The sequence below is a fragment of the Homo sapiens genome, chromosome 1 (assembly GCF_000001405.40).
Source record: "Homo sapiens chromosome 1, GRCh38.p14 Primary Assembly".
NCBI lineage: Eukaryota > Metazoa > Chordata > Mammalia > Primates > Hominidae > Homo > Homo sapiens.
Window position 1 is genome coordinate 241,037,305 of NC_000001.11, and position 27,697 is coordinate 241,065,001.

At 40.4% G+C, this 27,697-nt stretch overlaps 1 protein-coding gene across 22 annotated transcripts in view, besides 2 other annotated features; it reads right to left on the reverse strand.

Annotated features, from left to right (window-relative positions):
- The window catches only part of RGS7 (regulator of G protein signaling 7), a 582,489-nt gene that overhangs the window by 262,563 nt on the left and 292,229 nt on the right, over positions 1-27,697 (reverse strand). The window lies entirely within an intron of this gene.
- Positions 7,712-8,270: an enhancer, noted in NCBI's record as "H3K27ac hESC enhancer chr1:241208316-241208874 (GRCh37/hg19 assembly coordinates)". NCBI's record gives its function as "activates a minimal SCP1, AML or CMV promoter by ChIP-STARR-seq in primed H9 embryonic stem cells {active_cell/tissue: H9 hESC(primed)}" and the evidence as "EXISTENCE:reporter gene assay evidence [ECO:0000049][PMID:30033119]".
- Positions 8,271-8,829: an enhancer, noted in NCBI's record as "OCT4-NANOG-H3K27ac hESC enhancer chr1:241208875-241209433 (GRCh37/hg19 assembly coordinates)". NCBI's record gives its function as "activates a minimal SCP1, AML or CMV promoter by ChIP-STARR-seq in primed H9 embryonic stem cells {active_cell/tissue: H9 hESC(primed)}" and the evidence as "EXISTENCE:reporter gene assay evidence [ECO:0000049][PMID:30033119]".

A 27,697-nucleotide genomic window follows, 5' to 3' on the forward strand; every position in this document is an offset into this window, starting at 1 on the left:
CAATTAGCCTCTAACTCTGGGAGAAGTAGGTAGGGAAAGTTAGAATATCTGTTTGTATGCATATTTATAACAGCATAATTCACAATTGCAAAAATATGGAAACAACCTAAAATGCCCATCAATCAACAAATGGAGGCCGGGCCCAGTGGCTCATGCCTGTAATCCCAGCACTTTGGGAGGCCGAGGCGGGCAGATCACAAGGTCAGGAGTTCGAGAGCAGCCTGACCAACATGGTGAAACCCCATCTCTACTAAAAATACAAAAAAATTAGCCAGGTGTGGTGGCAGGCCCTTGCAATCCCATCTAATTGGGTGGCTGAGGCAGGAGAATCTCCTGAGCCCAGGACGTGGAGGTTGCAGTGAGCCGAGATCACGCCATTGCACTTCAGCCTGGGCAATAGAGTGAGACTCCATCTCAAAAAAAAAAAAAAAAGTGGATACAGAAAATGTGGTATATGTACACCGTGGAACACTACTCAGCCATAAAACAGAACGAAATAATGACTTTTGCAGCAAATTGGATGGAGTCAGAGGCCATTATTTTAAGTGAAGTAACTCAAGAATGGAAAACCAAATATTGTATGTTCTCACTTATAAGTAAGGGCTAAGTTATGAGCACACAAAAGCATAAGAATAATACAGTGGACTTTGGGGACATGGGAGGAGGTGGGATTGAAGGATAAAAGACAGCATTTTGGGTACAGTGTATACTGCTCAGGTATAATGGGTATACCAAAATCTCAGAAATCACAACTAAAGAACATATTAATGTAATAAAATGTAATAACCACCTGCTTCCCAAAAACTATTAAAATCTTTTTTAAAAAAATCAGTGTGTATTTGTTACAGTTGGCTGCTGTTGGTATGTTATTGCCATAAAAATAGATAAACGAAAAATAAAGATGTTCTTAGGAAAGAATTGGCTACTTCTCTAGCTGAGTTAGAAGTGATTGGAGATCAAGCCCCTTGTAGGGTTAGAAAATCCAGACTGTTTATATATATCAAATAGCAAATAGTATCTTGGAGTAAAAAGATATTTCAGTTGAAAGAAATGATTCAGCCCTGCAACAAAGACTCATTTAAAAACGTTACCTTCCCACTCAAGCTTGTACTTTCACAAGGCCACAACATATCCATAATTATGTTGAGAAAGAAGCACTGGGCAAAAGAAGCAATGAAAGCAGATTTGACAAGTATAGTTAATAGAAAGTTTGGGTATAATTGCTGACATAGGGAGCTGACTGAAAGAACAAACATCAGAAATTCCTAAGTTCTTGAGACAATTATGCTGTCAGAAAATCCCTGAGCCTGGATTTTGCCAAAGCAGTTGACTTCTTGAACTCTAAGACAACACTTAGGTCTGCCAATTTGTACCAGCCTGAGAAGTGGGCAATGAACGTAGGGTAGCCAGCCTGATCCACTCATGCCTGTGATCCTAGCACTTTGGGAAGCCAAGGTGGGAGGACTGCTTAAGACCAGCCTGGGCAATACAGCGAGAACCTGTTTCTACAAAAATAAAAAATTAGTAGGGCATGCATTTGTAGTCCTAGCTACCCAGAAGGCTGAGGCAGGAGAATCACTTGAGCTCAGGAGTTTAAGGGTGCAGTGAGCTGTGATCGCACCATTGCACTTCAGCCTGGGAGACAGAGCAAGATCCTGTTGAAAAGAAATAGAAAGAAAAAAAAGAAAAGGAAAAGAAAAAAGAATGAAAGTCAGGCAGCTCGTCAAGGAGAGAATGTACCACAATGCCCACTTCCGATGTTGTGACCACAGAGAAGGACAGACAAAAGAATACATCTGTGTGTGAAGATCTAATCAACAGATTTCCCCCATTTCTGAAGTTGACACATTCAGGACACCTGCCCAGCAAGAATCTGTAGTTGCATTGGTCCAGGGAATGCTGTCTGCCTCCCATTCTTCACTTTTCCTAATTGGAATTTATTAGTGTGCTTAACCTTTCTCTACTGTGGGATCAAACACTGGGCATGAGGTGTGGGTTGTGAGGAGAGGGTAACTAACTGGTCCTTCTGTTCATAGATAAACCACAAGGCGCCATATCTCGTTCTGACAGATGGCTGCACATCACTGGAAGGATCTTATTCGTTGAATCAGACACAGAAGCAGAATGGGATTTGGGGTTGTCTTTGGCACATGGGTGGTTTATAGGTGTGTTCTATGTGTGAGAAGAAAAATGAAACAGATATATGGAAACCAGAAGGTAGATTTAGAAGAGATTGGTCAGTTGATCACTGAACTCATTTCTTTTTTTTTTTTCCCCCTTGGCATGCAGCAAGACAGAATTTCTCATGCTCCTTCACAGTTAGTTGTGATGTACAACCGAGTTTCAACACTTGGAAGTAAGTGAAATGAAATGGGCTGCTTTCTAGGCCTGGATAGGAAAATCCCCTGCCCACGATTCTCCATGCTCTTTCCCCATTTAGCTTGATGCAAACAAGCCAGAGACCTTGAAGGCTAGCTGGTGACGATGGCAGAGCCATAACATGGAAGGATGTTTGATCTATGAATCGCCACTTGGAGAACCGACTTGCTGTTCAGGAACACCCGCTTTGGAAATTACATGTTCAATAAATAAACCTGTGTTAAGACACTAAGATTCAGGGACTTTGCTGTTAGAGTTGATGGGATTACCTTAACCACACACCCACAACTGGTTTAATAGAAGATTGAATGTAAAATGATTTCAAGTGCCCAACGGCTGAATTTCTTAATATGCTATCCTAAGTCTCATCATGATGATACACTAGGAATGACAGAAATCAGTCATATGGACTCTTTAAGACAGTTTTTCCCTGCAGGAAAACTGTGAAGAGTATCACCTGAGGTGGCCACATCTCCTTTAGACCCCTCTCAGCCTTTCAGCGTTTTCTGTAAATAAAGTCCATTCTTCAGAAAACTTTCAACTAAACTTTGATGAGATAGAGCCACCAGAAAAGAAAAATCATGTATGCTGTAACCACTAGACCAAGGTTCTTTTCCAAAGAGGTTTGTCGATTTTGATAAATGTACTTCTAAATATATTTGACATACATAGGCATCGGGTGTTTAATGAACAGCTTTTTCTGCTAAACGTCATTTTTTCCAAGGTTCTCTTACAAGGAGCTTGACATGTGTAGATGATTATGAGAATATATGTAGACTCACTTTTTACTTTTCTTTTTATTTATTTATTTATTTACTTATTTATTTATTTATTTAAGACTGAGTTTCGCTCTTGTTGCCCAGGCTGGAGTGCAGTGGCGCGATCTCGGCTCACTGCAACCTCTGCCTCCCAGGTTCAAGTGATTCTCCTGCCTCAGCCTCCCAAGTAGCTGGGATTACACCATACCCGGCTAATTTTGTATTTTTAGTAGAGACAGGGTTTTACCATCTTGGCCGTGCTGGTCTTGAACTCCCAACCTCAGGTGATCCGCCCACCTCGGCCTCCCAAGGTGCTGGGATTACAGGCGGGAGCCACTGCACCCAGGCTTCTTTACTTAAAAACAAACAAACAAACAAACGAAAAGCTTTCTATTCTCAGAAGTGTTCTTGCCCTGGCTATTATAAATTTTCCCTGTTCTATCTAACCAACAGAATGTATTACTCTTCCCTGGGAACATGCACGTGCAACTCCCTCTCATGTAAAAATTGCCATATTATCCAAGAAGAGTGTGTACGGGTGCATAATTCAATTAAATATGTAGTTCAGAAGCAAAAGTAAATATAAGATTGTGCTAAGGTTCATGAATTCAAAGTTTAAATACTGAGACTCTCAGAAAATGTAAAATGCTTTTAAATGTATATATTTATTCTGATTATTACCTTTTGAAAATGAACTGAAAAAAGACCTACTTAGGAAACAGAAATACTTCTGAGATATTGATAAGCGGCTTATTATTTTTATTGCTTCAATTTTTAGTTTTATGAATTACTCTCCACCACAACATATTACTGGAAAGTTAAGTTTTACTGCGGTGATCTTTCACTAAAGTCTAATTCATTCTAATCATTTCAAAATTCAGAGTTTGGTGTTCCATATTTTTGTCTTCCTTGTCAGTTCATTTTGTATATTATTTACTTGATAAGCTGAGGCTTGAAAAAAATACTCGCAAAAGCTTGTCTGTACTTATGGCCCTGGGCAGGAGTACAGGCACTTTCTCTCATGAGTATTTTACATAGGAATGATCCAGAGAAGAGATGTGGCCCTGTCTCTACCTTGACAGTAAGCTCCAAATGCTGACATTTGCTGAAGTAAAAATTCTCCCTGTCTAGTGGCAAAGGTGCCCCCATTCCTTTGACCCCAAAACTCCCACTTCCCCCAATCTTCCCATGCAGATGTTGTCTGCAGAAATGAAGCCATCAGGCATCAGACCCCAAAGCAGACTTAGGTCGCATTTACACATTTTCTATCACAAGCAGGATAAAGACAGACTCAAGTTACCCATTACATTTAGGACTTGGGGCTCTTAGCACCCAGGCTCAGGGTTTTAACTCAGGACACTTACAATGAACTAACTCAGTACTACCTTTGGTAGTACTACCTTTGAGAACTAGGTTCCCTGCTAGACTTTGAATTTCTTGAGGATTGGGGGCACATCTTATTTGTTGTTGTGTCCCTGGAACCTACCAAGTACTAGAGCATCGTGGGCTGGCTGTAAATGTCTGTGGGATGACTTAGTAAATGAGGAAGGCGAGACATCCTTGACCAACCATAGTGACTAAGATACTGCAGTGGAACACCTGCTGTTCCTAGTTAACTAAGTAAATATGGATCTCCCATAGTATATAGAGAAAGAATAACTCTAAGGAAGAAGGGGATAATGGCTGCGATTCCTTCCAAAAGAACGCTGTCACATGTGTGGGGGCGCTGTACATATGTATCATCTCTTAACTACAATCTATGCATGTAGTTTGTTTACAGAGATATTTCATGCATGCTGTAGAAAATTCAGGTCATATAAAAAGGGATTATAATAAAGCTAAAATCCCCTAAAAGTTCACCACTCAGAAGAACTCTCCCATCAACATTTGTATGGGGATCACCCAAGGTCAATCTTTCTGGGTATGTCTGTGTTTATGCTTCCTATAATTTATTTTGATTTATGTTTTTGCTGTATCACTTCTGCTTCTCACCCTTTATGACATGATGGAGATATGTCTCTTTTTTATTTTACTAGTAGTCACTTTTATAACTTTAAATAGCATATTTTAACAAAGTTCTTAATATATTAAGTACAGACATAAAATAATACATACAGAAAAAAAGGCACATAAAAGACCAGGAATAGCTTACTTTCTCTCATCTTCATTTTATTGGAGCATGCTTCAAGATTATGTCCCTTGGCCGGGCCGGGCTTGGCCGGGCGTAGTGGCTCACACCTGTAATCCCAGCACTTTGGGAGGCCAGGGCAGGCAGATCACCTGTGGTCAGGAGTTTGAGTCTAGCTTGGCCAAGATGGTGAAACCGTGTCTCTACTAAAAATACAAAAATTAGCCGGGCATGGTAGCACATGCCTGTAATCCCAGCTACTTGGGAGGCTGAGGCAGGAGAATCTTTTGAACCTGGGAGGCGGAGGTTGCAGTGAGCCGAGATCACAGTGAGCCGAGATTGCACCATTGCACTCCAGCCTGGGTGACAAAGCGATACTCCGTCTCAAAAAAAAAAAAAAAAGGATTATGTCCCTTTATCCTAGTGTAATTATTATTACTTTATATTGTATGGTATACTTGCTTTCTTTTGTACAGCCAATATTTCCAATAGATATTGTGAATAATTGTTTGCTCAAATGACTTTAATCTCATTACTAGTCCACTCATTCTACACGAGTTTTTGAAATTATTATCACTTTCCAGTTCAGTAGGGTATATCTGATCTATTTCCTGAGTCTTTAAAATGTTCTGAATCTTTGAATATTTATTCATATATTTCTATTTTCTTTTTATATGAGCTATAACTTAACTGGTTATATAATACTTTTGTTACACTATTTTGTCTCAAATTGTGTAGCTGTTGCTTCATTGTCTTTGGGACACAATGCTGCTAAGGAAAAAGTCTGGATCCAGGCTAATTTTTTTCTCTATGATATTGTTGACCCTATATTGTTACTTTGTATTTTTGTTATTTGCATTTTTCGTTGTTGTGTTCTTATTTTTTCCCCAATATTTTCAATCTATGGTTGGTTGAAACCCGCTAATATGGAGGGTCAACTATGATATGATATTAATACATATATAGATATATCATATATAATATTATATAGTTATATTTTATATATTATATTAGTTATATTTTATATATTATAATATTATATAGTTATATTTTATATAATACATATTATAATACATAGTTATATTTATATAATATTATGTTATATCTATATATAGATATGAGAAAAAGCAAAAAACAAGAACAATTAAAAAATATAAATACAAAAACCCAGTAGAGTATAACAACTATTTATGTAGTATTTACATTGTGTTAGGCATTATAAGTAATCTAGAGATGTTTTAATGTATAAGGGAGGATGTGTGTAGGTTATCCACATATATTATGCCATTTTATAAAAAGGACTTGAGCATCCACGGATATTGGTATCGACCAGGGTCCTAGAACCAATCCTGTGCAGATACTGAGGGATGATGTATATTCTTTTGCATGTATGCTTGTAGAAATATTTCTAAATCCTTGCATTTCAACAACCTACTACAATCTTTGTGCTACTTGCTTTGTGATACACATGCTTAGAACATCTTGCCTCATCTTGATCTGCAGATTTGGGTTTGAATTAATTTCTTTCTTTTTGTTTTTTTTGTTTTTTTTTTTTTTGGTTTGAGATGGAGTCTTACTCTGTTGCCCAGGGTGGAGTGCAGTGGCATGATCTGGGCTCACTGCAACCCCGCCTCCTGGGTTCAAGCGATTCTTGTGCCTCAGCCTCCCAAATAGCTGGGATTACAAGTGCACACAACCACGCCCGCCTAATTTTTGTATTTTTAGAAACGGGGTTTCACCAAATTGGCCAGGCTGGTCTCAAACTCCCGACCTCAAGTGATCTGCCCGCCTTGGCCTCTCAAAGTGTTGGGAATACAGGCATGAGCTACCGTGCCCTGCCCTGAATTCATTCGTTTGTTTGTTTGGTTTTTAAGACAAAGTCTCATTTTGTTTCCCTGGCTGGAGTGCAGTGGCACAATCATAGCTCACTGTAACCTCAAATTCCTAGGCTCAGGCAATCCTCCCATCTCATCCTTTTGAGTAAGTGAGACTACAGGTTATGCCACCATGCTCAGCTAATTTTAAAATTTATTTATTTTTTTTGTAGAGATAGAGTCTCGCTATATTGCTAAGGTTGATCTTGAACTACTGGCCTCAAGCAGTCTTCCCACCTCAGCCACCCAAGGTTCTGGGAGTACAGGTGGTAAGCCACCACACCTGACTTGTTTCTGTTGTTGTTTTGATATTATCTTCAGGTATAACAATGATCCATAAGCTTGATATTTATTTCGTGCCTCCATATCTATAATCTTCTCCCTTATTAAATAAGTTAACACAAGAATTTAGAGCAATGCTTTACACAGAATATATGTTCAAAATATAAATTATTATAACTGATTAATTGTTTTAACTCTTTTTTCCCTAAACTCTGGCTGATTTTCTCAGTCTTCTCCTTCCTATCACTGACTCAGCTCTGTAGTGCTGATTCTGTACTTCGAGTTTCTAAAGAGCTTTTAATTTCCATGATGGCAATTACTTTCTCTTCAGTTTCTTTCCTTAATATGGCTAGCTGCCCTTAAAGTGAATTCACTTAAATTATCGTCTCATCTTTGATCTCTTCATTCAGAACAGTAGATGATATACCTTAAATTTTATTAAATTCCTCCATGTTGGAAAACACTTGTCTAAAATTTTCTTCTAATTCCTTGAGTGTGCTTTCCTCCAAAATGTGTTCCTGAATTAATCTTCTGCATGCTAGACTTTTTTTCTTTTACCCTTTGGCTACCTTCTCTTTTGCATAAATTTAACATAGGCAAGATATTTTATGTCTAGGTGTCTTTGTATTTACTTACTTATTTATTTATTTATTTTTGAGACAGAGTCTCACTGTGTCGCCCAGGCTGGAGTGCAGTGGTGCGATCTTGGCTCACTGCAACCTCCGCCTCCCAGATTCAAGAGATTCTCCTGCCTCAGCCTCTCAAGTAGCTGGGATTACAGGTGCCCACAACCATGCCAGGCTAATTTTTGTATTTTTAGTGGAGACAGGGTTTTACTATGTTGGCCAGGCTGGTCTTGAATTCCTGATCTCATGTGATCCTCCTGTCTCAGCCTCCCAAACTGCTGGGATTACAGGCATGAGCCACCGCGCCTGGCCTGTCTAGGTATCACTGAACAGTGAACGCTATTCTACGCAGGCTTGCCTTTTGCCCAAACATAAAATGGGTGGATTCTCATTGCAACTCCTCCTTGTTTTCCTGTACCTTGCTTGAAAAATCTCATTTGAAAAGGACCAGGAAGTCTCCCTGTGGTTTCTATTCTCTTTAAAGTATTTCAAGAGAGAGGTTTTCAGGGAAGGCAAAGGGGCCCTGGAGTTCTATTCAGGGGATTCCTCTCTTCTCTCCCCTCCATCAGTTGGTCTGAATCCCCAGTAATATGGGCCAGCTTCACACAATTGAAGGTGTGCCCTGGTCTATGGAAAGTACCTTTGGCATTTAGACTTTTTTTCTCTTTGGAGTAGGGCTGTTATGCTTCCTGTGAGATCCTTGTGGTTTATGAGTTTAGGGTTTTTTTGTTTGTTTGTTTTGTTTTTCATATTTCCTACCAAGCATTTTGTTTTCTGCTGAGATTTGGGGTAGATCCATTTTTCAAAAAATTTCAACTTTATTTCAGGTTCAGTAGTACATGTGCAGGTTTGTTACGTGGGTATATTGCATAACACTGAGGTTTGGGGTACAAATGATCCCATCAACCAGGGAGTAAACACAATACCTAATGGGTAGTTTTTCAGCCCTGACCCCCCCCCCCTTTTCTAGTCATCCCCAATGTCTGTTGTTCCCATCTTTATGTCCATGTGTACTTAATGTATAGCTCCCACTTCCAGAAAACCAAATACTACATGTTCTCACTTATAACTGAGTAGAGCCATTGATCCTCAAAGATTTGTCTGTTTCCTTAGTTAGCCAAAGGGGAAAAGTGGCCAAACTTTTGATATCATTCAAGTGAAGGCCTTGAAAAACCATTTGTCTTCAGTGGGGAAAAAGAACTGCAAGTGGGTTATTCTACATCTTTTCTTCAACGGCCGACACCTCCATTCTTGGTCTTAACAAATTTTGAGGATACCAGTCAGCGATGATGAGTATCTGAATATATGTGACTCTCTCATGGGCAGGAAAACACCCTACTAATCTTTGTACACTTGGTGCCCAGGTGCTATGCATACAGATAAATTCTCCCTTAAAGGGTAATTTGAATGCCATATATATCATCTGTAGACAGATGATTTTTCTGCTTGTCCTTAGCCACTTAGGTTTTGTCTCTTCTTCTTCAATCTGGCAATTTCCTATATATGAAATGTACACCAGCCAGTAGTGCAATTTCAATTCATAAATGTTACGTTCTACTGCCCATAGATCCCCAAATGAGCTCATGAGGAACTTAGAGTGAAGCGAAATGCCAGTGGACCTCCTCCAAAGGCTTGTTCCTCCAACAGCAGCAAATTTTGTGAGCAGTCCATGAACCCCAAGTCTGAGAGATCAGTCTCAGATCTATCTAATTGCAGGGGGCTGTAGAGACTTAAAGCCTGTATTTATTATCTTAATTACCTTTTGGCCAGGGCAAAAGGAGATGTTATATAGACAACCAGTTGCTTTGAGGTTTGCACTGAATCCACGTATCTCCGTAGTTGCTCCCAACCAATGATGAAGCACAGCCCAGTGACTAAAATGGGCTATTTCTGGGAAACATAGGATGCTCCCATGGTGATTTTAGCTTCATAGTTTCCCCACAGCCTTGCTGAAGTTTTCCTGGAGCTGTGCACAAATCTAAAATACTTGATCCAACTCCCTTTCTTTTCCTCTTTCTTTGTCTTTCCCGGCTTCCTGGTATCTTTCTTTCCCTCCCACCTTTCTTCTCTCTCTCACTTGGGGTTAGAACTGAAGGATTACCTGTTAAACACGTTTAAACATGCTTTTATGATAATACAGTTCAAATGCTTCCCATATCTACATTATAACCTTTATTATACTCTCTAATGTACTTCAGCATTATGAAATACAACATAACATACTTCAACAGGGAACTTGACTTTCAAATGTCACTATTAGTACTTACTAAATTGAAAGGAAATGTTCTCCTATCAGCAAGTAAACACGATACACTTGAATATTCATGCCATTGCAACCATGCACTATTCAAATCTTCTCTGTCAAATAATTGTTTACAATCCTTTTTTTTTTTTTTTTTTTTTTTTGAGATGGACTCTTGCTCTGTTGCCCAGGCTGGAGTGCAGTGGCGTGATCTCAGCTCACTGCAACCTCCGCCTCCCAGGTTCAAGCAATTCTCCTGTCTCAGCCCCCCTAGTAGCTGGGATTACAAGCGTGCACCACCACGCCTGGCTAATTTTTGTATTTTTAGTAGAGATGGGGTTTCACCATGTTAGTCAGGCTGATCTTGAACTCCTGACCTCAGGCAACCCACCTGCCCCAGCCTCCCAAAGTGCTGGGATTATAGGAGTGAGCCACTGCACCTGGCCTGTTTACAATTCTTAATTGCCTGTCAGTGGTGTAGATGTGTATGTATGTATGGCGGGGTCACGGGCATTATTACCAAGTTTAAAAGGAAAGAGTCTAAAAATAGTTCCCATGACTCAGGAGGAAAGTGTCCCTGTGTTGTCACCTTATTTCCACTTTAGATCCGTCTATGTTCGTAACCCTGGGACAGGATCAATGATCTGTAAACCAGGCTCAGCCTCCCCCTGGTGAGCCTAATGAGGCACAGAAATAAAATATAAAAGTAAGTTCAATACCAAATCTTATACCCTCCTAAGAAATAGTAAGAGTTGGAAAAAATAAATACTCTTTTATAAAGAGTGAAATGAATCTGTTTTCTTCATATCTCCCCCACCCCTAACCTTTAGTAGAAGCCAGCATAAATCTGGGGAGAGAAGCCCTCCATGAGTGCTGGGCCTTCCAGCCTCTCACCCACAGGCCATGGTGTCACTGTGACTATAGTTTTACTAATAATACTATATGGCGGCTCATTTTTCTATTCAAACTCTCTGGAAGATATTAAATAAGTCTGTTTTATTTAATAGATAAATCAGGGCTGCGATGTTCTCACCAACCAATTAAGAAGCCCAGGGAAAATACTGACACTCTCCTTCTGAGGTTCCTCTGTGCCTCCTGAGGATGGCATATGTAAAGTTTTCTGTTTCCCTGGTCTTTTCATCCCATTCTTATGCATCATATGAGCTTTCTAGGGTTGTCATGACAATGTGCCACCAACTGGGTGGCTTAAAACAACAGACATTTATTGTCTCATGGTTCTGGAAGCTACAGGTCTGAGACTGATGTGTTAACGGGACCACACTGCCTCTGAAATCTGCAAGGGCGATCTCCCTGCCTCTTCCTAGATTCATTGGGTTTGCTGACAATTGTTGACACTCCTCGGCTTGCAGCTGCGGCACTTCAGTGTCTCCCTTCATTGTCACACAGTGTTCTCCCCTCTTCTGTCTGTGTCTTCATCTCCTGTTTGAATAAGGACACCTAGCTTATTGTATTATGATCCACCCCGGTGATCTCATCTTAACTTCGTTACATCTTCAAAGACCCTATTTCCAAGCAAGGCCACACTCACAAGTACTAGGGGGTAGATCTTTAACATATCTTTTTTGGGGACCAGTTCAACCCATAACACTAAGATTGAAAACCTGGCAACATCGACTTAAATATATTTGAGTGTGTTAGTGCAAACCTGGTTTTGGTGCCTTTTACATTCAACTGGACATTACTGGTGTTATCTCATACCCCTCTTTACAGAGTTCTGAGTTGTCTTCGTGAATTCTTATTTACAACATAGATGCATTAGACACACACACAAAAACTTTATTTTGTTTGAAAATCCTTGACCTTTGGAATACATTTAAAGATGAAAAGAACTATGTAGTCAACTCAAATCTCTAGAGACCCTGTAGTCCTCATCCTTTTGTTAAACTTTCCTCATGACTTTGCTACAGTGGGTAGTCAGGAGAAAGGGCTTTCCCCTACCTTTAATCACAATTGTCTGTGGACAACTTTTGTAATATATCCCAATGTTGTAGGAGTCTCAGCTTGACCATAAAGAAGATGCTAATGGGTATGTTGGACGAACTGTTGGTGCAGACCCACCAGGAACTAAGGGATCTTCCTGTAAGAAGTTCTTGCAAGGAAAGATGGAATTTGGCATAATGGACTTCTACAGATATCAGGCTTTGGTCATGTAAAAGCTGAGGAGCTGCTGAACATCTCAATAAGTTTAATGTATCTGGTTTGTCTCCAGGCCCTTGGGACAGACGCATGAAATCTGTGGTAGTCAGGATGGGTCACACTGTACTAACCCAAAAAGGTTACAGCTATTTTATAAACACCAAGAGATGCTTGACAAGACAATAAAACATAGAAAGTACTATTATTTGAGTGCCCTCGGTACTTTTCTCACACCTGGCCAAGACCTACACTTTGTAGGGCCTTTTCTAGCTTCCTCTAGTTATAGCCTTCTCCAGAGGTTAAAAGTTCTACATAGCTAAGGGGCTGTGTCCACCAAGCATCTTTGCCCCCAATTCTCGCACACACTGTTAGAATCCAGAAATTTCCTTCCCTAAAGAACGTGATCCCATTATCAAGAATCTCCAGGTCCCTTCCCCAGGTTTTTTATCCTGAAGATAGATGGCACAGCCAGTATGTGTAGATCAGGCTCAAGGGGTGCCTGAGGGGTGGCTATTAGTGGGGATGGTGTGAATAGAGCTTGGGCATGCAGACTGGAGCATCCATACACTTATCCAAGAGGCTGCTGGGCACACAAGGAAAATCCTCAGGTGGAAAGGGAAACAGGAGTAGGCTAGAGGCTGGGGTTAGGTACTGGAGGCTGGCTCTCCCAGGTCACTATGTTCCATCATGGGACACTGAGGAGTCCAAGAATTCCAAATATGAATGTGGTCTTTCTTGTAATTATGAAGGTAGGCTTGTCAAAGAGGGAAGATAGTACATATATTATTGAACATTTTCTTAGCTTGATTCATAACTTTGAAGTACAAGTGACCCTTGAACCACATGGGTTTGAACTGCACAGGTCTGCTTATCCCTGGATTTTCTCCCACCTCTGCCACTCCTGAGACAGCAACACCAACGCCTCCTCCTCCTCTTTCTCTTCCTCCTCCTCCACAGCCTACTCAACATGAAAATGAAAAGGATTAAAACTGTTATGATGATCCACTTCTACTTAATGGATAGTAAGTATATCTTCTCTTCCTTATGACTTTCTTAATTTTATTTTTTCTAGTTTACTTTATTGGGAGAATATAGTATATGATACATATAACATATAAAATACGTGTCAATCAAATGTTTATATGATTGGTAAGGCTTCTGGTCAACAGTAAGTTATTAGCAGCCAAGCTTTTGGGGAGTCAAAATTTATTTGCAGATTTTTGATGGTGAGGGAGATTGGCACTTCTAACCCCCACATTGTTCAAAGGTCAACTGTAAAATCCTAGGTTATGAGGGTCTCTACTTGTACTCTTGCCCTACAAATGTTAGGGGTGGGTCTGGGTGCCTGTCCATCAAAGTATATTTCCAGAGGCCAGGTGGGAGGGAGGCAGTAGCTGCAGATCCAAGGAAGCACAGAGAAAAATAGTAGATAAGCAGCCAAGATGAGACAGTGGAAGCTCAATGAAGTTATGTCACTTATCTGTCTGAAACCTTAATTCTGCCTTGTCATGGAAACTGGCATATTCACAGGTTCTGGAGATAAGGAAACAGACATTTTGGAGGGCTGTTATTCTCTCTGCTACAGGCTTTAATCACCTGCAACTTGGTTATAAAAACTCGTTTAGATGCTTTATCAGGTAGCAGTGATTCAAATGAATTACACTCTGTAGTTACCTTGAAAGGAACCCCTGAAAAAGGGATTGCAGAAGCCAACCAATATAGCAAAGCACAGACTTCACGTCCTAGCTTTTTGCCTTGACTTCTTTATTTGGTCAAAGAATCTCTCTCTCTTTCTCTCTCTCCCCGCACCCCCCAACCCACCCCATCACTCCTCTTCTCCTCTGCCTTTCCTCTCCTTCTCTTGCTTAACAACTGATTCACACTGTTTAAATAACTTCCGTGGGTAGAGAGAACTTGAAGTACAAAAACTAAATAGATTTTCTAAGTCACACAAAAAATCTGAGAACCAAGATGCATGCATTTGCTTGCATCAACAGATAACGGCTAACTTGCATTGAGTGTTTCTCTGTCTGAGATACTATACTAAGCACTTGACATGTGTTATCTTATTCACTCCTTCTAACTGCCTTATTCAGTAGGTGCTATAATTATTACTATCTCATTTCACAGATGAAAACACTGAAGCTTGAAGAGGTTAAAGAACTTGTCCACAACCGTACACGTATCATGTGGCGCAGTCAGTCCTCAAACCCAGCCTCTATAGTTTTGCACTGAGCCCCTTCACCACCATGACTGTATCTAGGAATCCTTGCTAAGCTTCCCCAGAGATGTGAACACCTTCCATAAACATGTTATATACAGCAGACATGACCACAGCTTGTTCAAATCAGTAGAACATTTTCCAAGAGCCTAACATGTATTGGGTCCCGTGTTCAATGCTAGGGATACAAATATAAGTAACAAAATGCCCATGCCCTTCAGAACCTCAGCTTCCTGGGGAAAATGGAAATAGGAAATGTCAACGCAGCAAGTGAAGTGCTATGGTAGAAGGCATTACAGAAGCCCAGCAGAAGGCTGCAAGCGATCAAGGTTGTTAAGGAGAAAAGAAACAGGCTAGGAGGGGAGGATTAAAACATTTGAGGTGGACGTTAACAGATGAATACAAATAAGCCAGATGAAGAGGGTAGGGAAGGTATTTCCAGTCAGGGATAAGAGCAACGTGAAGGCCGAGCAGTATGGGAAGGCACGGCCCATGCACAGTGTCATGTACCTATTTACACCACACACTACTACTCTGAACTCTTTGCCATAATACACTCTGGAATGCTGTATGCCTTAGCTTGACCTTCTCTATTTCTATAAAAAGCGAAATCACTCCTCCCTCTGATGACCCATGTCAAGGTTGAAAAACCATCTACTGTATTTCAAAATTTTCTGAGTTGATTTGGCCTTAAGGATTCTCTAATAAGCCTGATATAATTCTTAACAATTCCCCCCCAAAGTATTGAACTAATAGCTATTCCCTGACGCAAAGCAATTTTCTCGGAGGAAATGATCTTAGAATTTTTCTGCATAGCGTGGATGCTTTTTTTTTTTGACAGAACACTGATTTCTGAAAATGAATAGAAAGCAGCTGTATAGCTGAGCTTAAATGTAGCCCAATCATGTCATCCGTGTGCCAGAACAAGATAATTTTTCCACCCTAATTCCCATCATCCTCTGCTTGATTTGAAAGACACCTACATATACTTGACTAAGTTCTGGGTGCTTCAAAAATGTATACTGTTTCTTCCTAAAGGAATATGAATTTGGAAGGGGAATCCCTTATCCTAAAGCAATCACACTGAAAATATCTCTTGACATACATTTAGACTTTCAGGAATAAAATGAAGATTGATGTCACAGTGAAGTGGTTCACCAGAATCCAGTAAAACTTGGGGCTAAGGAAACTTTGCAATCAAAAAAGCCTATCCAGCTCTTCTTGTTCTTAGATGTCCCTCCTCATTTCTTGGCCATGCTAAACAAAATCTCAACTGTTATCTCAAATATCTGAACAGAGGTTATTCTGAACAGACACCCATGCTGTAGGGCAAGCAGGCCCTTACAGGCCTTGCACTCTTTATCGTGGCCTTGTAGATCTTTGCTTAATTTGCTTTAGTAAATATTCTAAATACTGACCCTCAAAGTAGGAGACTTTTCCTAGAGTTTCTCCTGTGGAGGGGGAAAGTCATAAAGCTAATTTTGGCAATTTGAAAACAAAATTTTCATCACTATCAACGAAGAATATAGCAAATTTTAATAATATGACACTGTGTCATTTGACCACCTGTTAACTCTAGATGGCAAATATATTTAAATGATTCTACTTTCATAGATCTTACTTAGCAATAAGGTGCTCACTATTATCATCGTAAGATTTTTGGTGCAAAAAGTATATACTAGACATCTGATATGGTTTGGCTGTGTCCCCACCCAAATCTCATCTTGAATTGTAGCTCCCGTAATTCCCACATGTTGTGGGAGAAGCCCGGTGGGAGATAACTGAATCAAGGGGGGCAGTTTCTCCCAAACTGTTCTCATGGTAGTGAATAAGTCTCACAAGATCTGATGATTTTAAAAGGGGTTTTCTTTTTGCTTCGTTCTCATTCTTTCTTGTCCGCTACCATGTAAGACATGTCTTTCACCTTCTGCCGTGATTGTGAGGCCTCCTCAGCCATGTGGAACTAGAGTCCCTTAAACCTCTTTTTCTTTATAAATTATCCAGTCTCGGGTACGTCTTTATCAGCAGTGTAAGAATGCACTAATATAACATCTATTCTTCTGTGGTCAGAAGCGCTCTATGACCTATGGGTGTCACACCCAATAAATATGCATGAATTAATGGCCTGACAGTAATAAAATAAGTAGAATAGAGTCCTTGATCTCACTAGATTTATGATGAAGTTAAGGAAAGAACATATAACACTGAGAATTCATAAACAACCCCAGAACAGTATTAAAGACAACTACGTGTTAAACTATGATAGTTCAGCAGAGGAGAAGACCAGTGTGCAACAGAAGAGTCAGAGGGAGCTACACTGAGAGATGGCTTTGTCCAAAATGCAAATCTCATAACACAGAAGGCAGCCAAACTCCTGCGTACCTCCTTCCTCCTCAGACAGACTTTAAATACTTTAAAGGCTGGAGTTTCCCAGGGTTTGATTCTCATTTCTCTTTTCATCTCCATCTCCACTGTCTCCTCAGGTGATGTTATCCAGCTCCATGGAGCTCATAGAATGAATGATTCTCAGTTAATGTCATGGATACTAATCTCCCATTTGAGCACCTGATATAAAGATCCAACCACTTACTTGACAACTCAACTTCCATATGTAATAGGTAATTCAAACGTATAACATGTCCAAAATAGAACTTTTATACCCTACTTCCTGACCTGCTACTTCCTCAATCAACCACACATCTATTAAGAGTGCCAATATTCACTCAGGTGCTTGGACCAAATCCCAAGAATCAACCTTGACTCTTCTATTTTCTTTCTTGCCCATATCTGATTTGTCAGCAAATCCAATCATGTCTTATCCTTTCCACTGTTTCCACCTTTGTATAAGCCAACATCCTCTTTCTCCTGACCAACAAGTAGAGTTATCTTCCTAAAACTTATATCACTACTCTACTTAAAACACTCCAGTGGTCTTCCAGTGGTTTTTCAATGCTAATGGAATAAAATCCAAACTTTCTAACTATGGTCTGAAAGACCCCAGTCTAGTAAATCAAGAACTATTAATCATGCAGTTTGGTAAATCATGACAACATTAAAAAAATAGAGTGGAATAAAAATGCCACAGTGCACCATATGTAGTAAGGGAAAGTATTTTGTGATGCTTTTTAATTTTAAATATTAAGGTATAAAAGATAGGAAAAACCAACACCACTCAACACAGGACTACTGACACCAGATTCTCCAGCAGACATCAGTTGGATGTCCTTTCAATTCGGACACTATCTACCCGGTGGTAGCCTCAGATCCCACAGGTTAACGGCTCAGCCCACAAGACTGCCTCCCAATTCTGATGGTAATCACAAGCATCAGGTTGTGACTTGGGCTTCTGACTAATGGGCTATAAATTGGAGTTCCTACAACATTCTTCTTAGGTTTGATTAACTTGCTAGCACAGCTCACAGAATTCAGGGAAACACTTTCACTTATGGTCATTCATTATTATAAAGGATATTACAAAGGATACAGATGAACAGCCTGAGGTAAGAGATGCATAGGGTGACACAGAATTCAGGGAAACACTTTCACTTATGGTCATTTATTATAAAGGATATTACAAAGGATACAGATGAACAGCCTGAGGTAAGAGATGCATAGGGTGAGACAGGCAGGAAGGGGCATGGAGCTTCCGTGGCCTCCCCAAGCATGCCACCATCCAGAAACCTCTGCATATTCAGCTATCCAGGAGCTACCCAATCATTTTGGATTTTTATGGAGGCATCATTACATGGGCTTGATTGATTACATCCCCCATAAGTGGGGAGTGGAGATGAAAGTTCTAACTCTTTAATTACTTCTTCAGTTTCCCTGGAAACCAGCCCCCATCCTGAGGCTACCCAGGAGCCCCCAGCCACCAGTCATTTCCTTTGCATACAAAAAGACACTTGTCACTTTGGAGATTCCAAGAGTTTTAGGAGCTATGTGCTAGAAAACAAGAGGAATGCCAAATGTATTTATCTTATTATAAATCACCATATTAAGTTAGGCTATGTGTGTATTTGTTTGCAACACAAAACATTTTTCTTAATATGAGTTACATTCAAAAAATGTTTGCAAGCCCCTGACCTGTATGATCTGGCCCATGACTACCTCTCTGATCTTTTCTAAAACCACACTATACCTTGTTCACTGTGCTACAACCTCACTAACATTCACTCTAGCCCTCAGGCAGGCAAGCTCACCCCTGCCTCAGGACCTTTGCATACATTATTCTCTCTACTTGGAATAATTTATCCTTAGACATTTTGTATGTATGCTTCTTTCTTACCATTCATATCTCAATTCAAGTATTACCTCCTGCTAGGCATCTTATCTCTAAAGTAACACCTTCCGTACTGTTCATCTCACCACAGCTATCTTATCACCCTGTTTCAGCTTCTTCTTAGCACTGTACCCATCTCATCTCATTCATTTACGTTTTTGTGTGTGCCTTTATTTTCTACGTATTTCTCTTAGAATGTAAACCTCCACGAGTTCAGGGACCACATTTCTCTGGTTTACTACTCTATCTTTAGTGCAAAGAATAATGTTTATCACACAACAGGTGCTCAGTAAGTATTTGTTGAATGAATAAAGAAAACTGAAGACATAATTCCCCTCTGTTAAGGTATAATGGGAAACCTTTGGTCTCTCCTGGGCTTCTCAGGGCCCCGTGTAGAAAAGTCAAGGCTGTAGAATTAGTATTCAAAACTCCTCCCTTTGGCTTTGTGTTCAGTCCAAGAGACCATTCATTTCAGCACATTAAACTGTTAATTATGGAGTCTGGCTTCTCCTTTCTTTATGTGGAAAGAATAAATAGTTATTACTAAATAGTCATTTAATAGGCAGTGGTTTCTTTCAGGGCAACCATTATTAAAATTGCACAAACATGTACATAAATAAAGCCATTTACTTAAAATTAGGACAGACTGACTTAATGGATTCCACTTTTCTTACTGTCCTGGGTACTACCTGCTTGGAATACACAGTCCTTTTTTGTCCTTCCTCTCACTTTATTTCCTAGCTCTTGCCAATATGTACACCGTTGATATATGACTATTTATTCATGGTAATTTATTTCCAAGACTTTTTTTTTTTCTGGGGTTACTGATTTAGTTAATAGTATTTAAAACACAAAGTAATTTTTTTTGGCTGGGGAGAGATAGCCAAATTGATAATTTTATATTATGTATGTCGTATGAGTATGGCTTTCCCTGAATTTTCACTGCAGATAGACAGACAGAACATTGGTAAGAAATAGGAACACCAGACTAGAAGTCAGTTATTTAACGTTCCAGTCCCACCTCTCACCTTAACCAGCTGAAATATTTGGATAAGTCATTTAAATTCCCTGAGCCTTGGGTTTCTCATTTGTACAATAAGAGGGCCAGTTTAGGCTTTAAAAATTCCTGTTATGTATTCAGACTTATTACATTCAAAGAACTATTATAAATTATCAGTTAATCTTTGCAAAAAACTTACAAAGTCGGTACTATTATTTCTCCTATTTTACATATGAGGAGAATGAGGCAGAGAGAATAAATAATACACATTTTAAGTGGTGGAGATGGTTTGAATCTAGGTAGTCTAAAGCCAGAATTCAAACTCTTATTCTTCTTACTGTAGGATCTCTGTTCCTATTTATCTCTGAGAGTTAAATTTATAGCTGGGCATGGTGGCTCATGTCTGTAATCCCAGCACTTTGGGAGGCCGAGGTGGGTGGATCCCTTGAGGTCAGGAGTTCGAGACCAGCCTAATATGGTGAAACCCCGTCTCTACTAAAAATACAAAGAAATTAGCTAGGCACAGTGGCATGCGCCTGTAGTCCCAGCTACAGTGAGCCGGGATCACACCGCTGCACTCCAGCCTGGGCGACAAAGCGAGACTCTATCTCAAAAATAGTAATAATAATTTAAAAAAGAGTTAAATTTATAGGTTGTGAATCCTTGGATCTCATGTTGTTATAGTAGGTAGATAGTCAGGCATGAGTAGGGGAGGTGAGGCTTCCCCTCATCCCACTAGGAATGTCAGGCAACCATCAGGTGATGGTCATGCAGTTGTCACGCTGCCTCTCTAAAATAATAATTGGTCGCAGCCAGCACCAGGAAAGGCAGGTTCCATATAGATAGAAAAAGCACCTGAAACTGGTTATCATCAGTCTCCTGATGAGATCTCAGGATTTGGGCAAATGGGCTCAAACATGTGCATTAAGAGGCAAAATGGCAGAGTTTCACTGGTATGTCCATCTGGGGGCGTTCCACCAGTAAAGGGAAGAATGAGTCAGGTGAGCATAAGTACAACTCTAGTAAACACACTGCCCATGCTCACCTCCCAAGTGCTAGCAGGCCATTGTGTATGTGCGCAGCTCACCCCAAGGGAAGAAGCAAGGGAAAAGGGATGTAAGACACCAGAAACATGCCAGCATAGAAAACCCTAAGTCCAAGGTCAAATAGGGCACTTGTCCTCTGAGATGCCCTCTTGGCCCTCTTCCAAGGGTACTTTGCTTTCTTTGAATTCATTTGCTTTATTTGAATTCTTTCTTCTGAAGAGGGAAGAATCGAGGTTGCTGAAAACCCGTAAGGATTCACAGCCGGTAACTTGGGTACCCGCCACAGCTAACATATTTTGTTGCCATGTGACTCCAATAACTTCAACCTATAGCAATGTTAGCTTGTCTGTATCTTATTTCACCAGCAGGCTGGAAACTACTTAAGTGTAAAGACGATGTTCATCTTTGAATAACCTGAGACAATTAGCTCCAGGCCTTGCATGCAGTAGGCATTCAATATTTACTTTTAAAATGATGAGGAGTTGGGATGGATTCATGCAACAATTTTGACATTAACCAGGTGAAATCTAAGGTCCTTTCTGAGAGTGTGTGATTCAGGCATTGACTGAATACTCTTCTTGAAGGAGTTGGCTGTGTCTGCACAGATTCACCTCTGATTTGCTCCTCAACTTAATGCAATCTGGTTTTCAGCCCCACTGATGCCACTGAATCTCTGCTTGCCAAAGTCAACAACACACTTCGAAAGGCATTTCTTGTCCTAACCTATTGCATCTCCTGAGAACATCTAATATTGTTAACTATCCCCTCTTCCTTAAAGCGCTCATTTCCCTTGAACTGGATAACACAGTGCTGCTGACTTCTCTCCATCCACCTCTCAGGGTGCTATGCTTTGTCTTCATTTTAGGATCTGCTTTCCTTACCTAGATCTACAATGTTGGGATCTCCCAAGGGTCTGTCACTGGTCCTTCTCTTCTCGCTTTCCACACTATACTCCTTGGGCTTTCCCACACATATGCTAAGGATTTTTGAATCTATAGCTCCAGCCCAGATCTTTCTGTTGAGCTTCAGACTTGGTATAGTGGTAAAAAGTGATAACTTACTTTAAAATACTTCCATATGAACAGTATATATATGTAGAGTATATTAGTCAGCATTTGAAATATCTAAATCTGGAATCCACACTCTAGGAATGGATAGGAATTTGCAGTACCTAATCAGGGATCCATATTCAGAGATGGCTTCAAAACTGCTTCATACTGTGTTAATAGTCTCTCCCAGAAGGCCAAATTAGACAGCAATTTTAGACATAATTTTTCGTTTGTGGATGAGTGATACATGAACTATATGTTTGGCTATAGGAAGGGGGTGTAAAGACCCAGGAAGCCCAGCAGCCTATGCCTTTGAAGCACCACTCAGCGCCTGGCTTCCTGATTCTGTGTCTCTCTCTTCACAAAGAACTCTGCTACCTGTGGTTGATTGGTCCCACCACACGCAAAGCTCAAGGCTCACTGTATCTTGAACATCTATTGGATAGCACCTTACACATCAAGTTCAACAGGTCCAAAATGGAACTGATCCTCTTTGCACAAAATTGATCCTCCTTCTATGTTCTTTTATACAGTAAATGGATCTACACTCACTCAATGGGCCAAGCCAGAAATCTGGACATTAGTCTTAACTTCTCCCATTCTCATCATATCCACAGTCAGTCAATTACCAAATTCCATCAACATCATCACCTAAGTCATTCTCAAATTCACCCATTTCTCTCCCACTCCACAGGCACCTCCCAAACCTAGGGCACCAGTTCCTCTCTCCTGTCCCCAGCTGGACCCCTTCTACTCTATTCTTTATACATCAGCCAGAGTGACTCAGGAAATGGAAATCTGTAGTTTAATTAATATATTGTAGTTACTTATAGGAAAAAAAAGGCTGATAGAGAAAATATCTAACAACTATTAAATAGTATAGGTAGCAACAAGTCAAAAGAAATGCCAAACCACTTACAGTGAAAAATAGTTAGAAAACAACACGTTAAACAAGCCAGGTTATTGCTGCAATTATCCTAACTTTGTTATGTTGTAGATTGGGCATATCACTGTTAACCTTTGTTTCCTCTATGCCAAGTAATGCTTGACAGACAGCAGGCTCTTACTGAAAAAAATGAAAGAACATGAATGGGAAAACATTCAATCAATCAACCTTTTTTTTCTCCCCCCAACTTCCACTCCCAGTTTTCCTCTTAAGGAAGGAGTATGCCTCAAACCAAGAAACTGAGAAGTTTCCCTAAATCCTATTGATTGGTACCCTGGACTTGGAAGCAACTGACTTCTTGATTTTCTACCAGGGTTTAGTTAACTCCACATAGTATACTCTATGAGACGTATCATTGCTATAAGGTTAATGATAGTTATAGGGCCCAGTCAAACATCTCACAGGGCCTATATTCTGTGTCACTTAGCAGTATGATGCATCTTGGCCCAGGGATTTGCAACCTTGGCCTGGGAATTTCCAGGAGACAAGACTACCTCAGCACAGATGCAGTTCTCATAAACCTTAAAACAAAGCTTAGCGTTACAAGAATAGCTTAAACTCCCTTTGTGAAAGAAACACCTTGTAACTGACCCAGAAGGAATACAGGTATAAGGAAAGGGGAAGAATCCCCAAAACTCTAAGAATGGTCTCTGGATGGAAACTCTCCTGGTCAATGGGTCACCTGCCCCTCAGGCTGTGCCAGGCCCATGCCACCACCTGCTCCCGCTACCTGTCTTTTAAGGGTTCTGCCAGAATAAACTGCGTGAGCATCAGATGCTGCCTAAGACTCAGCTTTGATGGGAATCAAACCAATGGAAAGAAGTTTCCCCTAGAAAAGCTGGTTACCTAGAGTCACCCAAGACCCCCAAGACTGACAGTCCAGCTCAACAAATGTTCATTGACAATCTTTAGCAATTATAATGATGAATGAGTCATACCCTCTTTCTCTTGTAAAGGTCACTGTATTTTGGTGGAAATAAACATGCGTTTGAGTCATTTAAGTAAATAAATGTTGAAGCTGTGTTATCCAACAGGCAGAGTAAACTCATATTTAGGATATCAGCATAGCAGGACACTGAGGACATCAAGAAAAATTTAGAAGAGTTCGACAGAATTGATATAAAAAACCAAAGCAATCACCAATGGACAAGTTCAGAGCTTTACGATCTCCTTACCCTTATGTTATAATTTAATATGATTTTTATTATGTGGGGTTACACAATAGTTTGGTCTCCCCAATAAAAGGGACCTCTTAAATCTTAATCTATTCCTAATAAGTGCTAAAATAGATACATAAATAGGGTGCTTGGGAGCACGCAGGAGGACAATTAAATAGGCTAAGGCAGGGGAGAGTAGGGAACAGGCGAGGAGAAGGCAGCGTCAAAAGGAGGGATGCCTGAGCTAAGTCTAAAGGGGCAAATTAACCAGGTGAAGGTTTGGGAAGCTAGGAGAGGTATACTGTTCCTCTGGTGGGACCCACTCACCCCTCTGAGCTAGACCTCCCAATACTTCCTGCTAGCCTAGACCATCATCTGTTAGCTCCCTATTATCTATTACATCTGCCCCATTGAACCTTGACTCTGTGAAATTCTGAGTCTGTACCTCCCAAGAGGTCTACCTAGCTGCAAGCTCCATGCTTGGTCGTATCTCAACACTCAAGAATCACAACATATTTATTCCATTCCAATAAGGCTAATTTGCTCATGGTTTCTATTTTTGTTTTTCCTTCAGTGATCACCTACACTTCTGTTAGTCATTAAACAAATGGCAGCTGGCATCATCGCCAACTTTCAAAACCTTATTCAAAAGTGATCTTCTATAGGAAATCTTTCGAGTGGTTAGATACCCACATGGAAAGGGCTTCCTTCTCATGAAAAGCAACCAATGCACTTTGTTTAGCATTGTGTATTCATAAATATTTATCCATTAAAAACAGGCATCTGTATGGCAAGTCCCACAAGGATGATTTAACCAAGACTGCAAACTCCTCAGCTGACCACATCCCATCTCTCTTTGCTTCACATCATCCTGCTAGCCCCTCAAATGCTTGGCCGGCCAACAACCATACTGTACAGTCAAAAAGATTCATCAAGTCCTCACTTAGTTTTTATTCAACCTTATTCCATCACAATTTCTCACCAACATCAGATTACCGGTGAAAATTTGATCAGAGAGACTGAGGTAAGAGAGACTCAAATTATTTAAATCTCTCAATGGAAGTTAATAGTTTTGAAGAATTAGAGCATTTCATATGGGAGCAATGTCAAAATAGGTGACCTAGAACTGAAGTAGTTTTCCCCAGACTCTGCAGTTACTGAATTGACTCCCCAGGCTGCTCATATTTTCCGGCTATTTCTGAAAAGAAAAATATACAAATGCAATACCCCTTTTTTTCCCCAAAGGTCTTTGCTTCCCTATAAATACTAAAGTGTGCTCCTTAACCCACTTATCCTGTGAGATGCCTAAAAATGGCCTCTTGGATGAAATAACTTCAGGAAACACCGTAGAGTATAGCCCTGGTTTGAAAATTCACTATGAACACTAACGTGTTAAAGACCCTATTACTTCTGTAAATAGCCTAGTTTTACTTCGTTAACTCTTCCTTTCACAAGTGTATTTGGGCACAGATCAAGTTTCCCCTTCCCGCAATATTATCAACACCACTCCATACAAAGGAGAGTTGGAAACAGCCATGTTACTCCTCCACTGAATTCACACACACACGGATATAAGTCTTGTGTAGTCTGAGGTGTTCATTTCAACCCTGGATAGTAATTCAAAGTAGCAAACAGCTTTTTGATGTTTGCTTTGTTTGGTTGCAGAAAATAAGCTCAGGGTAGACAGTTCTTCAATGACAGTTCTTTACTTGCATAAAGCTAGTATGGATTATCCCAACTTTTATAATGACAGTAGTTACCACTGGGATGCAAAAGAAGCAAAAAGAAAAATAGGAGTTCTAAGGGGCAGGAGTATTAGCATTGCACTATAATGCTGCAGTCTAAGCAGGCATTCCATTACTGGGTCGATGGTGAATACGAAGTGGAGGTTCAATCACTACACACACTTACTCAATAGTCTCCTCTAAAAAAGGCAGTAAATGTCTTGTTTTTGGCTCAGATGAAGGCCTATCAACCGTCAGAAGTGCAGGCTTCCACACAGAGATTCAGAGCAGCACTACAGCCGCTCAGCATGTGAATCCCAAGAGGCAGGTGATTTAGTCAATAGGCCCCAGAGCAGCTATTTTAAACACAGGGCCTGTTCTCTTTAAAGGTACAGGATTTATTTATTTGTGGGCCATTTAAAATTTCCTGCTTTCACCGGCTTTTGATCTGGACTCAGGTATTATATCTTGTCCTATTTTCCAACATGTAACAATTCCTTACAATTATAATATTCACCCATCCATCCATTTGGCTAACATTATTGACAACCTATTATGTACCAAGCACTGCTCTGTTTTTTTTTTATTGCATGTAAAAATGATGGTGATATTATAATGAATGAAATAAGCATTTGTTTTTGCAATCCAAGTAAAATTTACCTGTATTGAAGAATGTAGAGGATCTTGTCAGGAAACTAACGACACTGCCACATGAAGGAAATCAAATAAAGCCGGGCGCGGTGGCTCACGCCTGTAATCCCAGCACTTTGGGAGGCCAAGGTGGGCGGATCACCTGAGGCTGGGAGTTCGAGACCAGTCTGACCAACATGGAGAAACCCCCTCTCTACTAAAAATACAAAATTAGCCGGGCATGGTGGCACATGCCTGTAATCCCAGCTACGAGGGAGGCTGAGGCAGGAGAATCGCTTGAACCTGGGAGGTGGAGGTTGTGGTGAGCCAAGATCATGCCATTGCACTCCAGCCTGGGCAACAAGAGTGAAACTCAGTTTCAAAAAAAAAAAAAAAAAAAAAATCAAATAAGAGAAAGGTGCTGTGCTTTTTGTAGGTCAGTGTTTTTCACAAGACACCGATATTGAAATCCCTGGAAGTACCTATTTAAAATGCAGATTCTGCTGGGTGTGGCAGCTCCCATCGGTAATCCCAGCACTTTGGGAGGCCGAGGTGGGAGGATTGCTTGAGCCCAGGAATTGGAGAACAGCCTGGGCAAGATAGAGAGACCCAGTCTCTACCAAAAAAAAAAAAAAAAAAATCAGCCAGGCATGCTCACACCTGCAGTCCCAGCTACACAGGAGGTTGAAGTGGGAGGATCTGCTTGAGCCAGGGAGGTCAAGGCTGTAGTGGTTGCACCACTGCATTCATACCTGGCAACAGAGCAAGACCCTGACTCAAAAACAACAACAACAAAAAATACCAAACATTTGGCCAGGTGAGGTGGCTCATGCCTGTAATCCCAGCACTTTGGGAGGCCAAGGCAGTAGGATGGCTTGAACCCAGAAGTTCCAGACCAGTCGGGCAACATAAGACCTCATTTAAAAAAAAAAGAGACAAAGAAAGAAAAAAAAGTCAGAATCCAGGAATCTGGATTTTTAGCAGTACTCTGGATGTTCTTTGTGCATCCGTAGTGCCATATCCATCCCTGTCATGAAGGAGGAGAAAAGAGGCACACATTCTCTCCAATAGAAACACCTCCACATTCATGTCTTTTATTTATTGGGTTTCCTGTATGACGTCTTCAAAAAAAAAGGATGCAAGAAAAATATCACTTCTTTTAAGTGTAGCACATTAGAAAGTCACACCTATGAGACTCT